Raw genomic sequence first — 18,872 nt, forward strand, 5'->3', positions numbered from 1 at the left:
ACAGGAAAGAAGGAAATATGGTGAAATAGGGTGAATGTCAGGTGGATCAGAGAGATACAGTCATGGGGGTCAGGTGTGGTATCCGGAATACTGTGGGAGGCCGGATTGAAGTCCAGGCCAGGAACAATGGTAACTATAGGAGACTCAACAAAGGGTGAGTACAGCTGAAGGAGCCAGGGAACGGAAGGTATATGTGTCAGGTGTGAGGAAGAAAATAGATTTTGGAAGTTATGAGAGAGAGTGAGTTGAGTATAGTTTGTGATTTTAAGGCCTTTAAAAGTATTAAGGCAGCGGTAGCTGCTGCACGCAGATGTGAGGGCTAGGCTAAAATAGTAAGGTCAAGTTGTTTGGACAGAAAGGCTACAGGATGCTGTCCCAGCTCTTGTGTAAGAATTCTAATCTTACTAACCATGCCTAGGAAGGAAAGGAGTTGTTGTTTTGTAGAAGGGATTGGGGTTTGGGAGATTAGCTGGACACGATCAGCAGGGAGAGCACGTGTGTTTTTATGAGAATTATGCCGAGATAGGTAACAGATGAGGAAGAAATTTGGGCTTGACTGAAGTAATGGGGGCTGTCTGTGAAGCCTTGCGGCAGTACAGCCTAGGTAATTTGCTGAGGCTGATGGGTGTCAGGGTCAGTCCAAGTGAAAGAGAAGAGAGGCTGGGATGAAGGGTGCAAAGGAATAGTAAAGAAAGCACGTTTGAGATCTAGAACAGAATAATGGGTTGTGGAGGGAGGTATTGAGGATAGGACAGTATATGGGTTTGGCACCACACGGTAGATAGGCAAAACAATTTGGTTGATAAGGCGCAGATCCTGAACTAACCTGTAAGGCTTGTCTGGTTTTAGGACAGATAAAATGGGGGAATTGTAAGGGGAGCTTATAGGCTTTAAGAGGCCATGCTGTAGCAGGCGAGTGATAACAGACTTTAATCCTTTTAAAGCATGCTGTGGGATGGGATATTGGCATTGAGTGGGGTAAGAGTGATTAGGTTTTAATGGGATGGTAAGGGGTGCATGACTGGTCGCTGAGGGGGGAGTAGAGGTGTCTTATACTTGTGGGTTAAGGTGGGGAGATACAAGAGGAGGATGTGAAGGAGGCTTTGAACTGGGGGAAAAGGTGGCAATGAGATGTAGCTGTAGCCCAAGAATAGTCAGGGAAGCAGATAATTTAGTTAAAGTGTCTCAGCCTAATAAGGGAAATGGGCAGGTGGGGATAACTAAAAAGGAGTGCTTAAAAGAGTATTGTCTAAGTTGGCACCAGAGTTGGGGAGTTTTAAGAGGTTTAGAAGCCTGGCTGTCAATACCTACAACAGTTATGGAGGCAAGGGAAACAGGCCCTTGAAAAGAAGGTAATGTGGGCTGAGTAGCCTCTGTATTGATTAAGAAGGGGACGGACTTACCTTCCACTGTGAGAGTTACCTGAAGCTGGGCATCCGTGATGGTTTAGGGGGCTTCCAAGGCGATTGGGCAGTGTCAGCCTTCAGCCGCTAAGCCGAGAAGATCTGGGAAGGAGTTAGAGAGCCTTGGGCCAGAGTTCCAGGGGCTCTGGGAGTGGCTGCCATGTGAGTTGAACAGTCCGATTTTCAGTGGGGTCCCACACACATGGGACGCGGCTTAGGAGGAATCCCGGGCTGCGGGCATTCCCTGGCCCAGGGCCAGATTTCCAGCACTTGTAGCAAGCTCCTTGGGGAGGAGGTTCTGGAGGAACTCCTGGCCACTGCGGTTCAGGCATTTGGAAGTTCTTGTGTGCTGGAGATGTGGCTGGGGTTTGTCTCACAATGGAGGCAAGGAATTGCAACTTTTTTCTATTATTGTACACCTTGAAGGCGAGGTTAATTAAGTCCTGTGGTGGGGTTTGAGGGCCGGAATTTAATTTTTGGAGCTTTATTTAAAGTCGGGAGCGGATTGGGTAATAAAATGTATATTGAGAATTAGACGGCCTTTTGACATTTTAGGGTCTAGGCTGTAAAGCGTCTCAGGGTTGCTGCCAAACAAGCCATGAACTGGGCTGGGTTTTTCATATTTGATGAAAAAGAGCCTAAAGGCTAACTGATTTGAGAGAGGTCAGATAAAGAAAAAGGAGCATTAACCTCGACTATGCCTTTAGCTCCAGCCACCTATTTAAGAGGAAATTGCTGGGCAGGTTGGGGAGGGCTAGTCACAGAACGAAACTGTAAGCCAGACTGGGTGTGAGGAGGGGAGGTGATAAAAAGATTATAGGGTGGAGGAGCTGAGGCTGAGGAAGAATTCGGACCTAGCTCGGCCAGGCGAGGAGCAGCCTGGGGAGGAGGAAAGAGGTCAGATGGGTCTGTAGAAAAGTAAGATTAGAAAGACTCAGCGACACTTGGGGTTGGGACTGAGGGGACAGGCAAGAGGGAATGAAGGAGGATTGGGGACAAGTCGCATTGGGAACAGAGACTAGGGAGGGAACAATGTGTAAAAGAAAGCCTGGACTTCAGGCACCTCAGACTGTTTGCCTATTTTACGACAAGAATTATTTAGATCTTGTAGGATGGAAAAATTGAAAGTGCCGTTTTCCAGCTATTTGGAACCACTGTCGAGTTTGTACTGGGGTCAAGTGGCATTGCAGAAGAAAATAAGGTGTTTAGGTTTAGGTCAGGTGTGAGTTGAAGAGGTTTTAAGTTCTTGAGAACACAGGCTAAGGGAGAAGAGGGAGGAATGGAGGGTGGAATGTTGCCCATAGTGAAGGAGGCAAGCCCATAAAAATGAGAGAGTAGAGACATGGAGAGAAGGGGTTGGGGGGTTCTTGCCCTCCAGAAAAGCGGAGAAGGGGTAGAGACATGGAGAGAAGGGGTTGGGGTGTTCTTGCCCCTTAGAAAAGTGGTACTTGCCACTAGGGGTGAAGGAGAAGGGGTTGGGGGTTTCTTGCCACCCAGAAAAATGGAGAAGGGGTAGAGACATGGAGAGAAGGGGTTGGGGGGTTCTTGCCCCCTAGAAAAGCGGTACTTGCCACTAAGGGTGAAGGAGAAGGGGTTGGAGGGTTCTTGCCCCCCAGAAAAGTGGAGAAGGGGTAGAGACGTGGAGAGAAGGGGTTTGGGGGAGTTCTTGTCCCCCAGAAAAGCAGTACTTGCCACTAAGGGTGAAGGAGAAGGGGTTGGGGGGTTCTTGCTCCCCAGAAAAGCCGAGAAGGGGTAGAGACACAGAGAGAAGGGGTTGGGGGGTTCTTGCCCCCCAGAAAAGCAGTACTTGCTGCTAAGGGTGAAGGAGAAGGGGTTGGGGGGTGCTTGCCCCCCAAGAAAAGTGGAGAAGGGGTAGAGACATGGAGAGAAGGCGTTGGGGGGTTCTTGCCCCCCAGAAAAGCGGTACTTGCCGCTAAGGGTGAAGGACCAATGCAGGCATCCCCACGTGGTCAGACACCTCTGAAACGTGGGTGAATAATCAGGCAGGTGTCCCTGCGTGATTAAACACCAAGGGAAAACTGTCTTCCCGAGTCCGTGACCGGCGCCGGAGTTTTGGGTCCACGGATAAAACACGTCTCCTTCGTCTCTACCAGAAAAGGAAAGGAACGGAAATTAAGAGAAGGGAGAGATTGAAGTGTGGCACCAAGATTGAAAGGAGAAAGAGGTTGAGGGATAGTGAGAGAGGTTGGAGAAGAGAGTAAAAAGAGGCTGCTTACCAGATTTAAAATTGATGAGATGTTCCTTGGGCTGGTTGGTCTGAGGACCCGAGGTCATAGGTGGATCTTTCTCATGGAGCAAAGAGCAGGAGGACAGGGGATTGATCTTCTAAGGGAGGTCCCCCGATCCGAGTCACGGCACCAAATTTCACTTGCGTCCATGTGAAGAGACCACTAAACAGGCTTTGTGTGAGCAATAAAGCTTTTTAATCACCTGGGTGCAGGTGGGCTAAGTCCAAAAAGAGAGTCAGCGAAGGGAGATAAGGGTAGGGCCATTTTAAAAGATTTATAATTACAGTCAAAGGGGGGTTGTTCTCTGGCTGGCAGGAGTGGGGGTCACAAGGTGCTCAGTAGGGGAGCTTTTGAGCCAGGATGAGCCAGGATAGGGAATTTCATAAGATAATGTCATCACTTAAGGCAAGGACCAGCCATTTTTACTTCTTTTGTGGTGGAATGTCATCAGTTAAGGCAAGGAACAGGCCATCTGGATGTTTATGTGCAGGTCACAGGGGATATGATGGCTTAGCTTGGGCTCAGAGGCCTGACAGGGCCCGTATGTAAGGTTTCTGAATATTGAGAACAATAATAAAATCGACCATGCTCAGTAAAAATTAAACTAGTATTTCTTACCCTCTTTTGGATTCTTAGGGAGGTTTGGACTCCCTTTTCAGAAAAGTCCAAATGTATAACAAAGATAAATATTTCTCATATAATATCCTGGGCTTTGTGAAACCCCTGTAATCTACCCAAAGACCAAAGGCAATTGGCTCTAGGTTAAGAACCCCTGATTAGTTTTGATGTTTTATAGCTTTAGACCTGGAGAAATTTTAGACAATTGTTATAATTTTTTATACAATTGAAAGGTGGTATTTTGAGAAAGCCAGAGTATACTCTAATCCTGCTGACTATAAATCATAATCTGTTTGTATACACATCAAAATATTCCATGGACTAAATATAAAGGAATGTATTAAACATTTGTGATACATAATAATTAAAAAGTTATTTAATCTACCATTATTTATTTTGTACTTTCAGAAGTATTCATTGAGCCATCTTAACAAAAAAATGTTCTTTCGTCTAAAGCAAGTTTGCTAAACTTCATTTGAACTTTTAAGTCAGTCACTTGATTGAGCCTCTGAGAATAACAGAACACCTGTTGACCAAGCAATGTTACTTCTGCTTCTTTTAAGGCATCTTGCCAAATTTGTCATACTGTGAGACTACACATGCTCCATTAAAAGAGAAGACCATGAAAATATTGAAATAAAAAAATAAAAGAAGTATTATTTCATTTCTGTTTTGATGAATGGGAAAAAAAAAATCAAGAACAAGAAGTTCCAAAGAGGCCGAAGAGTAAATTATTTCCGTTTAGGACACAATTTTATTAATCCCATTTTGATCTGTATTTTTGTAATTTATAGTGATCATCATAAAGCATATGAAAACAGGTGAGAAAATATTTACTGATTTAAGAAAAAACATTATTTTCTGATTTTTAAATATTTATATAGTTTAAAATTAAAAATTTATATTTAATAACAATAAAAATATACTACCTGAATTTTCTTAGATCTTTTCAGGACAAGGCAGAAAGCAAATAAATGAATAAAACATGATACAATAACTGAATGGACATTGCAATAATCAGGTTCCCAAAATTCAAAATAGAAACATTCTAGGAAAATTTTATTTACAAATATGGAGGAAGGGATCAATACCCTGACCTTACTCTCCAGCCTCCATCTGATCTACTGGGGCTTCTCATTGATAAAACCCAGCTTGAAGAAGCCAGAAGTCAAGAACACCATTTGATGTGAGGACTGGATTTGGAAGGACAAATGGGAGATATCCAGCCCAAATTAATAAATATGGAATTAGATGATTTTGAGGAAATTAACTAATATGATCATATGAGTGTATCATACTCTAGATATATATCTTTTAATTTCAAAATAGCATTAAATCCTATTTCATCATTGTTTTCCTCTACTACTCCTATGAAGTAAAAGGAGGGGTGAAGAGAGAGGGAGCAGCTCCTCAGAGACTCACAGTCTCAATGGTCTATAAATTCCTTGCAGCAGGATAGTGCAACTTATGTATATTTCGATCCTACACCTGGCATGTATTTACCACACAAGAAATATTTATTGAATCAATTGAATGGATAAATGAACAAATTACATTTAAATGGGATGGGATGAATGTAAATAAATTCTAACAGCAAAAATGAAAATCAACATAACACAGATTGTTAATCCTAAATGTAACTTCTTTGGTGGTTTCTTATCAATGAATGTGGAAGAGAAATACTTTAATTCTTTAGCACCTTGCTCTAGGTTTCAAAATTATTATCCCTTTAGGTAATCTCCTACAATTTTCTACATATCTAAATATACAACAGGCCCTATGTTTTCAATTTGTTTTATGGTAAGAAGGTTCTCAAAATATATCATTACTAATTCCTCCAGTTTTCTTTGGGTATTCTATTATAACATATGAATCTCTAAATGAAAACGGGGTGATTTGTTGGAATGAACGAGTACTCACTTAGGCCACCCAGAGAAAATAAATCTCAACACGTTCATGAGAGCCATGGGAGCCTTGTTCTCTTGGCCGCAACTTGGCTTACCCAGAGAGCAATCATCTTTAAATAACATAAGTAAAAGTCAAGGTCCCTTAGAGACCTAAAACGTGTAGCTAAACCCATTTGTAAGTAAGTTTTCACTTGACTGAAAACACTACTCCATATGTAATTCACACTGTGAAAGCCTGTATCCTCAGGCTAATTATGAAGTCATTCTTCTCTGTCCTTTCCTTTTACTTCTCTCTTTTCTTCTATTCCAGGCAACACCAATAAAATATTCTCAAGTAACATAGTCAGTTATGTGGAAAAGTAAGGAAGGCCACAAGCGTATGTATAATTTGCCAACTCTACAGACTTTATCATGGAACCTGAGAATTTCTGGTTTCTGTGTGTTTGTTTTTTGTTGTTGTTGTTATTATTGTTGTTGTTCAAAGTTTATGTATTCTACCTTAAGCATAGGTATGACAAAAATATCATATATAGGGTGGATGGTGAAGGGAGAAATCGAAGAAAAGTAAGAAGTGCAAGAGAAAAGAAAGAAGGGGGGAAATGAAGAGAATTTTCTTCTATCTTTTTATTCATTCATAATTCTTGGGTCAGATTTTTTTATATCAAAGTAACAAGTGGAGAAAATGTGCAAGGGAACTAATACAGGTAACTCCAAATCTTCCAGAATCTTAAATAGATCATGGTTGTAGTTTGATGGACTCTAAACTAAAAACGAAAAGGAGGTTTTCTAATGCAGGCATTTCTTATTAATTTGGGTGAACTCTAAAGAAGAAACAAGGACTTAGGGGAAAATACGTAAACTCCAAAGGAAAGAAAGACCATGGACTTTGGAGTCAGATTATGTAAGTTTGAGTTGTAGCTGTGACTTCAAAGGGGTCTTTTGACAAAGAAACAGGATTCTGATCAGTTTTACAATTCGATATCTGTAAGATGAGGTAAAAACAATGACTAAATAGAAGTTTTCTTGGAACAGAGAGAATTTCTTCTGGGTTTCTCAGTAAGAATACATTAGGTGATGCAGGAAAAACAAAACAAACAAACAAAATATTATTGGCATATGTGACCTGTAAGAATAATTTCAACACTTCCACAGTGTTCCAAACATTTTGAGGGCTAGTTGAGTTGCTTCTTTAAATCAAAACATTCATCTTTGGATGGTTGCCTTCAACAATCAACCAATGTAACTAACAACCTTAGAAAGCAATTCAATGCAGTTTATTACCAAAGGGTATATTTTGATGACTAGTTTATCTAAGAGGTTACAGTATGAAATTATATTGTTTAAAGCTAGGCATTCTTTGGGTGACTGAGGTCTTAATGGTAGGAATTCGATTGCATCACTTCACTTGAAAACTTAAAAAAATGTTTTCAAACATACACATATCCTGGGATATGAGAAGCTAATATGGGTTGAGCATAGTAGAACATTGGGGAAAACACAAGATGAAAATGTCAAAGTAGGCAGGTATAAGATAACACAGACCCTGCTTAGCCATGATAAGAAATTTTATTTTAATTTCAGAGCAACACAAAGCAGTTGAAAGGTTTTAAATAGAGGAATATATTTCTATATTAAATTTATGTTAAAATCTTATGTGCTAGGCTATAATTTTATAAGGGCAAGGGAAGGAATCTTGTCTATTTATTTGATCCCTAAGCATCTAACTAATGCCTGATATTTAGTACTTGTCAAGCTAATTTATAAAGGCCTTTATGGTTGATTAACAATGCTTGTGGGGAATGTGGCAGATATCACTCTTCAATGATCCTTGCCTCTTGGTATTCATTCTCTTGTGTCATCTTCTCTCTTTGAGTGTAGACAGAAACCATGACTTGTTCTAAGCAATAAAAGTGTCAAATGTGATAAAATATCATTTCCATGATTAGTTTAAATAATATTGTAACTTTCATCTTCCTAGCTGACTCTCTCTGTTGCTTTCTTTGCTTGTATGCTTTGATGAAGCAGGGTGCAATGTTGGAGAGATCCACATGATAAAATATAGCCAACAGCCAGCTAGGAAATGATATTTTCAATCTATCAACCCTTGAAAAACTGAATTCTGGCCAATTTATCCAGTTGGAAGATCTTTCCCCAGTAGAGCCTTCAGATGAGACCCTAGCCCTGGCCAAAACCTTGAATGCATCATAAAAAACCCTGAAGCAGAAGATCCAGTGAAGTCATACCCAGACTCTTGACCTAACCAAAGTGTAATGTAATAAATGTATGTTGTTTTAAGCCACTACATTTGCACTAATATATTATATAGCAATGGATAACTAGTATGGAAGGGGTGAAGATCAATTCATAAGAACTCATTCTTTTCTGGGAATCTCTTTAACATACAGATGTGAGTGTTCTGAAATCATTTTTGGGCTAAGAGACCAGACACCCTGACCATATTATTAATTAATTCATAGGTAGTCTTCTGACCTGAACTGGGACATTAAGAACCTGGCTTCCAAGAATTTAATGCTTGAAAGAGAGAGATAATAGGGTAGAAGTAAGTCACATCACTAGGGTCACTCCAGAAAAAAAAGGCTGAAGAACTTCTATTTCTGAAGGTATAATTTAGAAAGTAACATTTCTGCCACTGGCAATGTAGGTGAATTTCAAAAAAAATCTTCTACAGATTTAGACAAAATAAAAAGAAAAACATAGAATCTATCCATAAAATCATTTCAACCATAATTCAGGTATAAGATAATGATTGCAGAAATTTATGCCCCCTAATTAAATTTCTCTAACTCAAGGAATATGCCAGTTCTGGCTGAGCACAGAGGCTCATGCCTGTAATCCTAGCACTTTTATGACTCTACAAAGAACTCACAATAAGAAAAAAGAAAACAAAAGTGAGAAAACACCATTATCTATGGTGCTGCCACTTGATTCTTCTACAGAATAGGGCAGCACTAAGGAATAGGGATGGAAGACAGACACAGTAAGCCTTTTAAGTTCCTGGAGACCAAGTTACATGAATATTGTAATTAAGCCAAGTTAAAAGAGATATTGGATCCAAGAAAAACTCCGATAAAATATTTAGAAATCTACTTTTTGACATAATACAGGGGGATAAACCTGGATTATAATTTACTATGACTTTTCATGAATCCTGAATCATCTATCAATGCAGTTACTAATACACAAAAATCACCAACAATCTAATAGAGAACCTGAAAGTTTCCTTTCTAGTTAAAAGAAGCAGTATTTTTGGTTCATAGTTAGGCACTAAATGATACTCAAAACTTCAGTGTCTATCCAGGGCGTCAGGAGGCAGCAGTTACCCTGAACAGAGAGACGGTAATCTAATTAGCATGGCATTCTTTGCTGAATGGTGAGACCATGGAAATTTGAATAGCCACTTTCCTTCTCTTAAATGTGTATTCATTATCAAAAGAAATGGAGAAACTGACTTGTAAAGCTGGAATGAGATGAAAGATTGGTTTTCTGTGTGGTCTTTCTTCTTGGAGTCTAATTCAGACTATTTACAAAGTCTACCAAAAGCATAACAAAGAACAATGGCCAGAACTCTGAATTATTTCAATCCCTTTCTTTTTTTATCCCTCAAGTTGGACACAGATATAACCATCAAGATCTAAATTTCCCCCGTCATTTTGGAGAGAATGTCTTACTGAAAGTCTCATGTGTAGATTTATGATAGAACTTGGCCCAATATCCTGTCTTAAGGGCATTCCGTTTTGTTTGTCATATTTTTCTGGTTCAGCAGCCGTTACTTTACGTGTTGTCTGTTAATGTATCTGTTAGTATATTCTGAAAAAGACTAAAATTATAGAAAGAATTTTGAAAATAGGAGAAATAATTTCATTTTTAATGAAATAATTGTGCTTTGGAAAAATATGAATAATTGGCTATCTAGATACCACAGAAGTTATGAGATTTACATAAAATATTTATAGAGTCTAACAATCTTAGATATGATAAAGTCCAACCCTGTTGTTTTACAAATAACAAAGCTGAAAAAAGGACTTGGAAAAAATCACACAGCTGGTTAGTTGTGGGCAATGTGGCTTAGGACAGGGATGCCACACATTCACCACTTCCTCCCTCTACCCAGTACACACTGCTTTCCATACCTATCCATGGCAAAAATTGCTAATCAGTGTTTTTCTTGCTGAACATAGATGTGGCCCGAAACTCATTCTCAACAAAGTGTTCCAGATAGGCCTTGTTATTTGGAATTCATACTTGAGTTGAAGCTATTTGTTAACCCTAGTCTAGATCTTTGTCTCTTGTATTCCAGTTCAGCCTTTTAATATTTATTATGCCGTAATTTTCACTGTTATGCAAATAATTTAGATAAAATATCAGTTCTATAATTATAAATGTGTGCAAATTGCACTCATGCATTTTAGGAATAAGTACTTAAGATTTTTGATAACATATACACATTGTGAATATATAACTCATCTTGGCAGTTTTTTCAGAAAAATTTAATGAAAAGAAATAATTCGGGATTAATTGTCATAAAATCTGATTTGAAAGCTTGTTAAGAGCTGTGTTTACTGGATAACATTACAATTATACGCCACACATGGTTTTACTAAAACAAAATGTCAAAGTGTTTCAAGAAGAAATCATTGTTTCTTGTTTTCACACTAGTAGCTAAAATAATTCCATAAAGAAGTCTCATGACATTAACATAAAACATCAAACACAGTTACAAGGTCTGTCTAAGAAGACATACAGTCTATTCCCTTCACTAATAAGGATTATATACCATGTGTAATAATTTGAAGGCACTTAATAAATCATTTTTTAAAATCCAAATCTATCAATTTTTTGTTTATATCCAATCTTGCAAAGGAGAAAAAGGATGTAGTCTATTAAAGGAAGGGATATCAACATACAATAGGAAAGAAAAACTATAGTGATTATAGCAAGGCAAGGCATCTTAATGGAGAGTGTTTTAAACCAAAACTGTGTTACATTCAGCTACATGTGGCCTGAGGATGCCTCTGTAGTTTCAGTCCTTTCAGAGGGAATTGCAACCTTAGTATGTAAACTAATCTAAAGCCTACTTTAGGAGGTTACTTTTGTAACAAATAGCTGAGTCTCAGCCAATCAAGCAGCCAAGCTTTAGTCAATCACGGGTTTCCTATTGATTGGATCATGTTCAAACAAGGCAAATGCCTAGCTGTCACCAATCAAGCGGTAACCAATCAGACTGTTTCTGTACCTCACCTCTATTCTCCATCCATAAAAGCCGCCTTCCCACATTGCTGAGTGGAGCTCTCTGAGCCTCTTCTAGTTCTAAGGACTGCCAATTCTTGAACTGTTCTTTGCTCAATTAAACACTGTTACATTTAATTCATCTGAAGTTTTCTTTTTGGTTTGTTTTTAACACCTGAATTCATGTTATCTAGTGATCTGTGTTAACCCAAAACTAAAATTATGACTCCAACTAAAGTCCCAAACCTACTGAAGCCCTGATAGTGGAATGAGAGGGGAATGCCTGTCACTTAAACCTCCTTTTATCTGGTACTTTTATAGCTGAAAAGAGTAGAATATTTTTTTAAAAAAACATATTTTTCTACCTAACAATTGTTTTATTCCAAAATGAAATAATAATATTCAAAAATAAAAAATATTCAGAGAAAATTTGTGCTGAATATACAAACTAATTAATTGAGCAGCTGAAATTCTGCTTCAGAAAACCAGGGCTAAAAATTTAAGCGTGGACAGGAATCAGGATTAGTTAGTTGGAGGGAATAATTTAGAAACACTGCTGCCAAGGTAACCTTTTCCTAATTTGAGGAAGATCATCACATTCCTCATATGCAGTGTTGATAAATAGTGGCAAGAGATGGAGTGAGGAGGGTTATGAAAGTTAGTTATTTTCCTCTGAAGTCTTAAGTAGGTTGTTACTCACATGAAGTCCTTGATCCCTCCATGAGATAGATAGACAAGGTATTTTCTCCAGAGTTATTCTGACTCTAAGATACAGAATTTTACCTCTGAAGTGAAATTAAAAGGTGACTGATAATGTTAGTAGATTTGTGAGCAGAGAAGAAAGTTGTACGCAGATTTTTTATATCTTATTAAATCATTTTTGAATACAGCTTTCATAAAATCCCTTTGGAAGAAACTGCTAGTTTTCATCAAAATCCACTTTCGCTTTCTTCCACGACAAAATATTGTCGTTGGGCACATAGTCTAGCTGGGAAGACACTTCCCAGACTCTTTCGCAGCCCAGTCTGGCCATGTACATAGAGTTCTCTCCACTGCAATGTAAATAGAGATGATGTGAGCCATTTCCTTGTCTTTGTTTTGTTTTAATACTGGTATTTATTATTTTTTCTCCTGTCCTGTGCACTGGAATGCACATACCTGTGACCCAGTTTTTAGCATACAGATGAGGACAATGCCCTGGGGGAAGACAGAATAATAAGGTAAAAGAGACCTGGGTCCCTGAATCACTGTGCGGATCTGAGATTTCTCAACAATATGGTTTATCTAAGGATTGTTATGTGAGGGAAGAATAAATTAATTTTTTCTTTAAGTCAAAATATTTGGGAGCTTCTTTGTTGTAGTAGCTTTTATACTAAAAGATTTTCTGCAGATATTTTTAAATTATTATAAAGTGTGTGTGTGTGTGTGTGTGTGTATGTTTAAGTTAGATGTATAGATATAAATGAAAAAACAGTGACTATCCCTGTACCCTTCACTTATAATAAAACATTACCAACATGGCTATATCTCTTGCATACTCTATATTAGTCCAAATTTTCCCTTCCCTCAACTTCCAAAGTTACCATCAAGTAATCTTGAATTCGATGTTTATTATTACCACACGTTTTCATAGTTTTACTGAATATGTATTTTCCAATATATAATGTGTAGCTTTATTTGCATGTTTTAGAATATTATTCAAATGTTATCTTTATCTGCTTGGAATCTTAGTTGCAAACACAAAAGAATCTACTTTGGCTACTTTAACTACAAAAGTAATTTATCATAGAATATTATGTAGTTCATAGACTCTCTAAGATCCTAAGAAAGTTAGAGTCTGAAAATATACAGTCCAACACATCACAAAATCTTATCTAATAAAAACACTCATGCTTCTAATCAGCAACCATGAAGCTGTGGGATGTAGAGGAAATATTTTTGTTTCTGCACTGTCTGGGCTTTCTGAATATATTTCCTGAAAACTCAGCATCTTGGGATAAGAGCCAGGCTTGGGAAGTTAATTTACAGTGGAGTAGATAGTGAGAGAAGTCCAGAGAGATTTAGCTAACTCTGGGTAGTTTACATTTTAAGAGAAAATGAGTCCCAGGACCTTGGAGAAATCCATAGCTTACAAAAAACCAGAGAGATATGCAAGGCTTATGCAGCCCCTGTAAAGATGTATGTGCATTCCAGAAGGTGAGAGTGAGTACTCAGGATCCTTTGCACTCCATCTCTGCAGGGCAAAGGTTTTTCCCCCTTTCTGGAGGGAAGGGGGAAACAGCTGTCTCTTCCTCCTGTATGGAAGAAGAGAATTCATTTTTCTCACTGAGAAACTATTTAGCTACTCATATACAAGATTTTTCCACCTGGCTTTCATCATATCACCCCAGAGGTAAGGACTAAAGTAAGGGAGAATCACATGCTTATTTATTGTAAGGTAATAAATAAATAAATAAATAAATAAATAAATAAATAAATCTCTGATCCAGAAAACTTCAGGTGCACATTCAGAATAAAACTAATAAAGATGAATAAAACAATCCCAACAATGTCTGGGACCAGATGCTAGAAATTCTCACACTGCTTCTCCCTAAAAGCACTATACGTCACCTCTCTAGTAGCCAGATGCTTATGTCAGATTACTGGGGAAACCGGCTCTGAGGTAGAGATTTCTGTGCAAGGAGTTTATCAGAAAACACTCTCAGGAACAACACCTGTAAGAGAGTGAAGGCAGTAACATTGGGTAGAGAGAGAAAACTGTACCAGAGGCCATAGTTAAGCCCTTAGGGAGCTTTGAACATTCAGAGTTATCCCCAATTTAGACCAAGAGGTTGGCCCCCCAAATTTACCAGTCATTAGATATGAGCTGTCTGGAGAGGGGACAGAGACAGGTTTTCTTTGGCTGCCCTCCAAGAACAAGACTCAGAGACAGACTAAGCTGATTGCTATCAGCAGCAACACTCATGGCAACTGCAAGATGAGTGCCTTAACCTTGAAGAGGGAATCTTGGCAGTCCCCTGTGACATCAACCATAACAAATCACATCTTCCAAATGTGGCTATCTCCTCACATTCTCACATTGCTCACTTCTAAATCTAAGACCTGCATGGATGTATCTGATGGAAGGACTTTCAGAAGCATGGTAGTCAGAAAAGGCATATCTAAATCCACGTGTGTATTCCAGTAAGAGCAAAGGGCTTTCCTGTCCACGATAGAAAGTGCCCATCATATTAATATGTTATCAACTGGCTGCCAATCCTCCAGAGTATGAAACTGTAGTTTGATAGGTCAGGAAATGGGAAGTGGGGAGGGAGGTGGTGTCAGCATTGGGTACTACCACTGAAAACCTAGGTACTTAGCAGTGTCAGTAACCTGGTGAGCTCTTATGAAGGAACATCCATGTTGAGCTGGAAAGCCTTCATATTAGAAAAGATTTACAGTCATTTCAGACTATCGGTGAGAGTAGACACAGACATAAGTAAAATAAGGTTTACTTATCTAAGTAAGACATTCTTATCCTACTATAGAAAAAAGTTAGTGCAATCAGAATATGGCAAAGGGATCAGGACAATTGTCCTTTAATAAATGTTGGTATGTTGGTATAAATGTCCATGTTCCCCTAAAAAAGAAAATAATTGCAGGTGAAAAATCTGATTGAAACTTATGTCAAGGTTTCTGGAAGCCCAAATGCTCCTCTTCCACCCCAGTCGAATATATTTAAACCTAGAGAAGTTCTTCACACAGACTAATCTGGATAAGTGCCAGTGACTATACTACCCAAACCTGGTAGATTATATTAATCTGGATGCTATACAACATAAAATATAAGACTAGATTACAGTATAGTTCAATCTGCAATTCCATTATCAAGGACTCGTTGATCACCCTTGGCATCTCTAGTTTTAGTGCCCTCCTGAAATCAGGGTTAAGAAACTGGAGCAATGTTGTATCTATTGAAGCTATTCCTGTTGACCCTGAAAGTGTACTGCTGTCTCTGCTGGGTGGAAGCAACTCTTTCAGAACTAGTTATTGAAATGAGGGGTGGGGATGGGAGTGGTGAGAATAGCATTTTTCAGATCAATCAACTATGAAGGGCGTGTTAATTTGATCTGGTAAAGACTGTGTTAGTCTGGTCTTATGTTGCTATAAATAAATGCCTGAGACTGGGTAATTTATAAAGAAAAGAGTTTTGGCTCACAATTCCACAGGCTGTACAGGAATCATGGCTGGGGAAGCTTCAGGCAGCTTTCACTCATGGCAGAAGGCAAAGCTGGAGCAGGCATCTTCACATGGCTGGAGCAGAAGGAAGGGGAGGTGGTGTGGAGGTGCCACATACTTTTAAACAAACAGATCTCGTGAGAACCCTATCACGAGACAGCTGGACTGTCACGAGACTAGAGGGATGGTGCTAAACCCTTAGAAACTATCTCCATGATTCAATCACCTCCCACCAGGATCCACCTTCAATATTGGGGATTACAATTTGGCATGACATTTGGGCAGGAACACAGATCCCAACCATCTCAGAGACTACATCTACAATGGAGTTACCAATTTACTAAGCCTACATACATAACCTTTATTCTCCAAGACCCAAGTAAAACAGGTAAGCTAAATGAGCCTGTAATAAAAATAGCCACATCTTCATCTTACAGTTTTTGATAGTGGAATGAGTCTCTATAGTTCCCTGGAGTTGTAGTACTTCTTACATTTTGGCAGGGAATTAGTATTGCAGTGTCTACTGCTTGACTCTTCTTCCATTTTCTTCATGTCATTTTGGAAATGTGCTGAGTATATCTAATCTAACAATAATTCTTAAACAGGAGGTAAATAGTAGGAGGCTAAGTTTTCACCTGATAGGCCCACTGTGACATGGTCTTGAGCCAAAAGTCCATTTATTTCCATTTAGTAAACCCTAGATGTAGTTTTATTTATTTTTATTTAATCTTCACAACCAGTATTAAGCCCGTATTAAGTTCACTTGTCTGAAGTCAGAAAGTTGGAAAACTAGGGCCATAACTCAAGTTTCCTGATGCTTAGTTCTTTTCTCTTTCACTTTATCAAGCATTAGTGATGACTAATTATTATGACTTTTGACCCTAGAGAAGAAGGGCCATTTACATGTAATATGATGTAGTCTTAAGTACCAGGAAAGCCAAAATAAGGTTACATCTTTTCCAATAAGTGCTCCAGTCAGAACACCATTTACATGTCTTTATCATCTTCCATTGAGAAGAGTAATAAAAATGGGAGAACTCCTGATCTATAAATGATGTTCAGCCTGAAGATTTTTCTAATTAAAATTTCACACATAAGAATGAATATCTCTAACTTTCATGACAAGATGTTGACTTGATGATGCCTACTGCAATTGTGCCTTTTTAGTCTGACTGGCAGCCTCTATCCAGTGCAAGTTCCTATAGCACAACTGGGATTTAAACAAGCCCCGTGCCAGAAATATTTACCCCAAAGGTTTCCCCACTGAGTGCAAAATAAGCTTGCATTTAAGCAGCTCTATTTCAGTTGCTGCCTAATGAAACATTTAACAACAACAAAATGCTTTCTTAGCAAATATGTCATAATATAGAAAGAACTATGGTGCAGAAAGACACATCATTTATGAGAAGCATGGTGCAGACCAGGAGGTGAAATGGGACAGTGATAACAGTTTATAAAAATTATAAAGAACTTTAAATATCTTTTTAAAAAACCTGAGCAATAGGAGTTTGCTAAGTTTGTATCTTTTATGAGAACAGAAAACTTAGCCAAATTTTAAGGGTGAAACGCTCACCCAGGAAAATCTAGTAGAAGAGAAATGGAAAACTCATGTCTTTGAGTAGGAAAACTGATGTTATGAACATATTCAAAAGCAAATTATCCTGGTAACAGAGCTTTATCATTTTGTATGCCTTTGGATATAGATATGATTCCATATTTCAGACTGGCCCATTCTCCACTTTAAAAAGGAAAGAGAAAAGGAATGGCAAACTGCTAGGTTGGCTGGGACAAATTATTTCTCAATAAAGAAATTGTTGCCATATGGCATCTCATTGCACTTTGGTGGCCCTTAACTCATGGCATAAGGGAACATGATAAGAAAAAAAGAAAAAAAGTTATCCTTCTGTAGCTGCTCCCTACTCCATTTCATGAGAACAATTCCCTGTTTTACAACAATGTACCCTTGAGTAGAAACTATCAAAAATGGCAAAAGGAGTTAAAAATCAATCCAAGGACAAAAAGGGCTTGCTCTCCTACAAAAGCTGCACTTCTCCTTGCTGCTGTTGTGTGAAGAAGGACATGTTTGCTTCCCCTTCCACCATGATCATTAGTTTCCTGAGGCCTCCCCTGCCGTGCTGAACAGTGAGTCCTTTAAACCTCTTTCCTTTATAAATTACCCAGTCTCAGGTATGTCTTTATTAGCAGCATGAGGATGGACTAATACACATGGTATGTCTTTTTTCTATCCATCTACTTTCAATCTATATGTGTGTTTATATTTAAAGTTGGTTTCTAGTAGACAACATATATTTGGGTCTTTTTTTTAATCCACTTTGATTTTTTGTGTCTTTTAATTTAAAATCCAATTACTTTTTTAAAATGATTGAATTAGGCCAGGCGCGGTGGCTCACGCCTGTAATCCCAACACTTTGGGAGGCCAAGGCAGGTGGAACACAAGGTCAGGAGATCGAGACCATCATGGCTAATACGGTGAAACCCTGTCTCTACTAAAAATACAAAAAAAATTAGTGGGGCGTGGTGGTGGGCACCTGTAGTCCCAGCTGCTCGGGAGGCTGAGGCAGGAGGATGGTGTGAACCTGGGAGGCGGAGGTTGCAGTGAACCGAGATCGTGCCACTGCACTCCAGCCTGGGTGACAGAGCGAGTGAGACTGTCTCAAAAACCAAAACAAAACAAAACAAAAAATGATTGGATTAATATCTACCATATATGTTATTGTTTTCTATTTATTGCACTTGGTCTTTGTTCCTGTTTTTCTCTTCTATTCTTTAAGCCTTTGTGGTTTCCACTGAGCATTTTTTAATGATTGAATTGCCCCAAAGTTTGCATTATATATTTAGTAACTAATCCAAGTCCATGTTCAAATAACACTATATCACTTCACAAGTACCGTGGGTACCTAACATTAACAAAATGATCCTAATTCCTCCCTTTTTTTCCTTTGTATTATTGCTGTTCCTGTCACTTATTTTATTTATACATTAAAAATAGATAAGAAAATATACTATACATAAGTGTAGTCAAATACATTATTGCTATTATTATTTTGAACAAAGTGTTATCTGTTAGATCAATTCAGAATAAGAAAAATAAACGTTTTTATTTTTACCTCCACCTCTTCCTTCTCTGTTGTTATTTTCTTTGTGTAGATCTAAGTCTTTGACCTACATGACCTTTATTTTCTCTAAAGAACTTATTTTAACATAATTAC

General features: G+C 38.4%; 1 long non-coding RNA gene across 1 annotated transcript; it reads left to right on the plus strand.

Moving 5' to 3' along the window:
• The first annotated feature begins 208 nt into the window (after positions 1 to 208).
• Positions 209 to 6,767, plus strand: LOC105375100 (uncharacterized). Its single transcript, XR_926894.2, has 3 exons — positions 209 to 240; positions 4,679 to 5,091; positions 6,488 to 6,767. It is a non-coding gene; the product is annotated as an uncharacterized LOC105375100 (long non-coding RNA).
• The last annotated feature ends 12,105 nt before the right edge of the window (positions 6,768 to 18,872 follow it).

The sequence above is a fragment of the Homo sapiens genome, chromosome 6, assembly GCF_000001405.40.
Source record: "Homo sapiens chromosome 6, GRCh38.p14 Primary Assembly".
Classification (NCBI taxonomy): domain Eukaryota; kingdom Metazoa; phylum Chordata; class Mammalia; order Primates; family Hominidae; genus Homo; species Homo sapiens.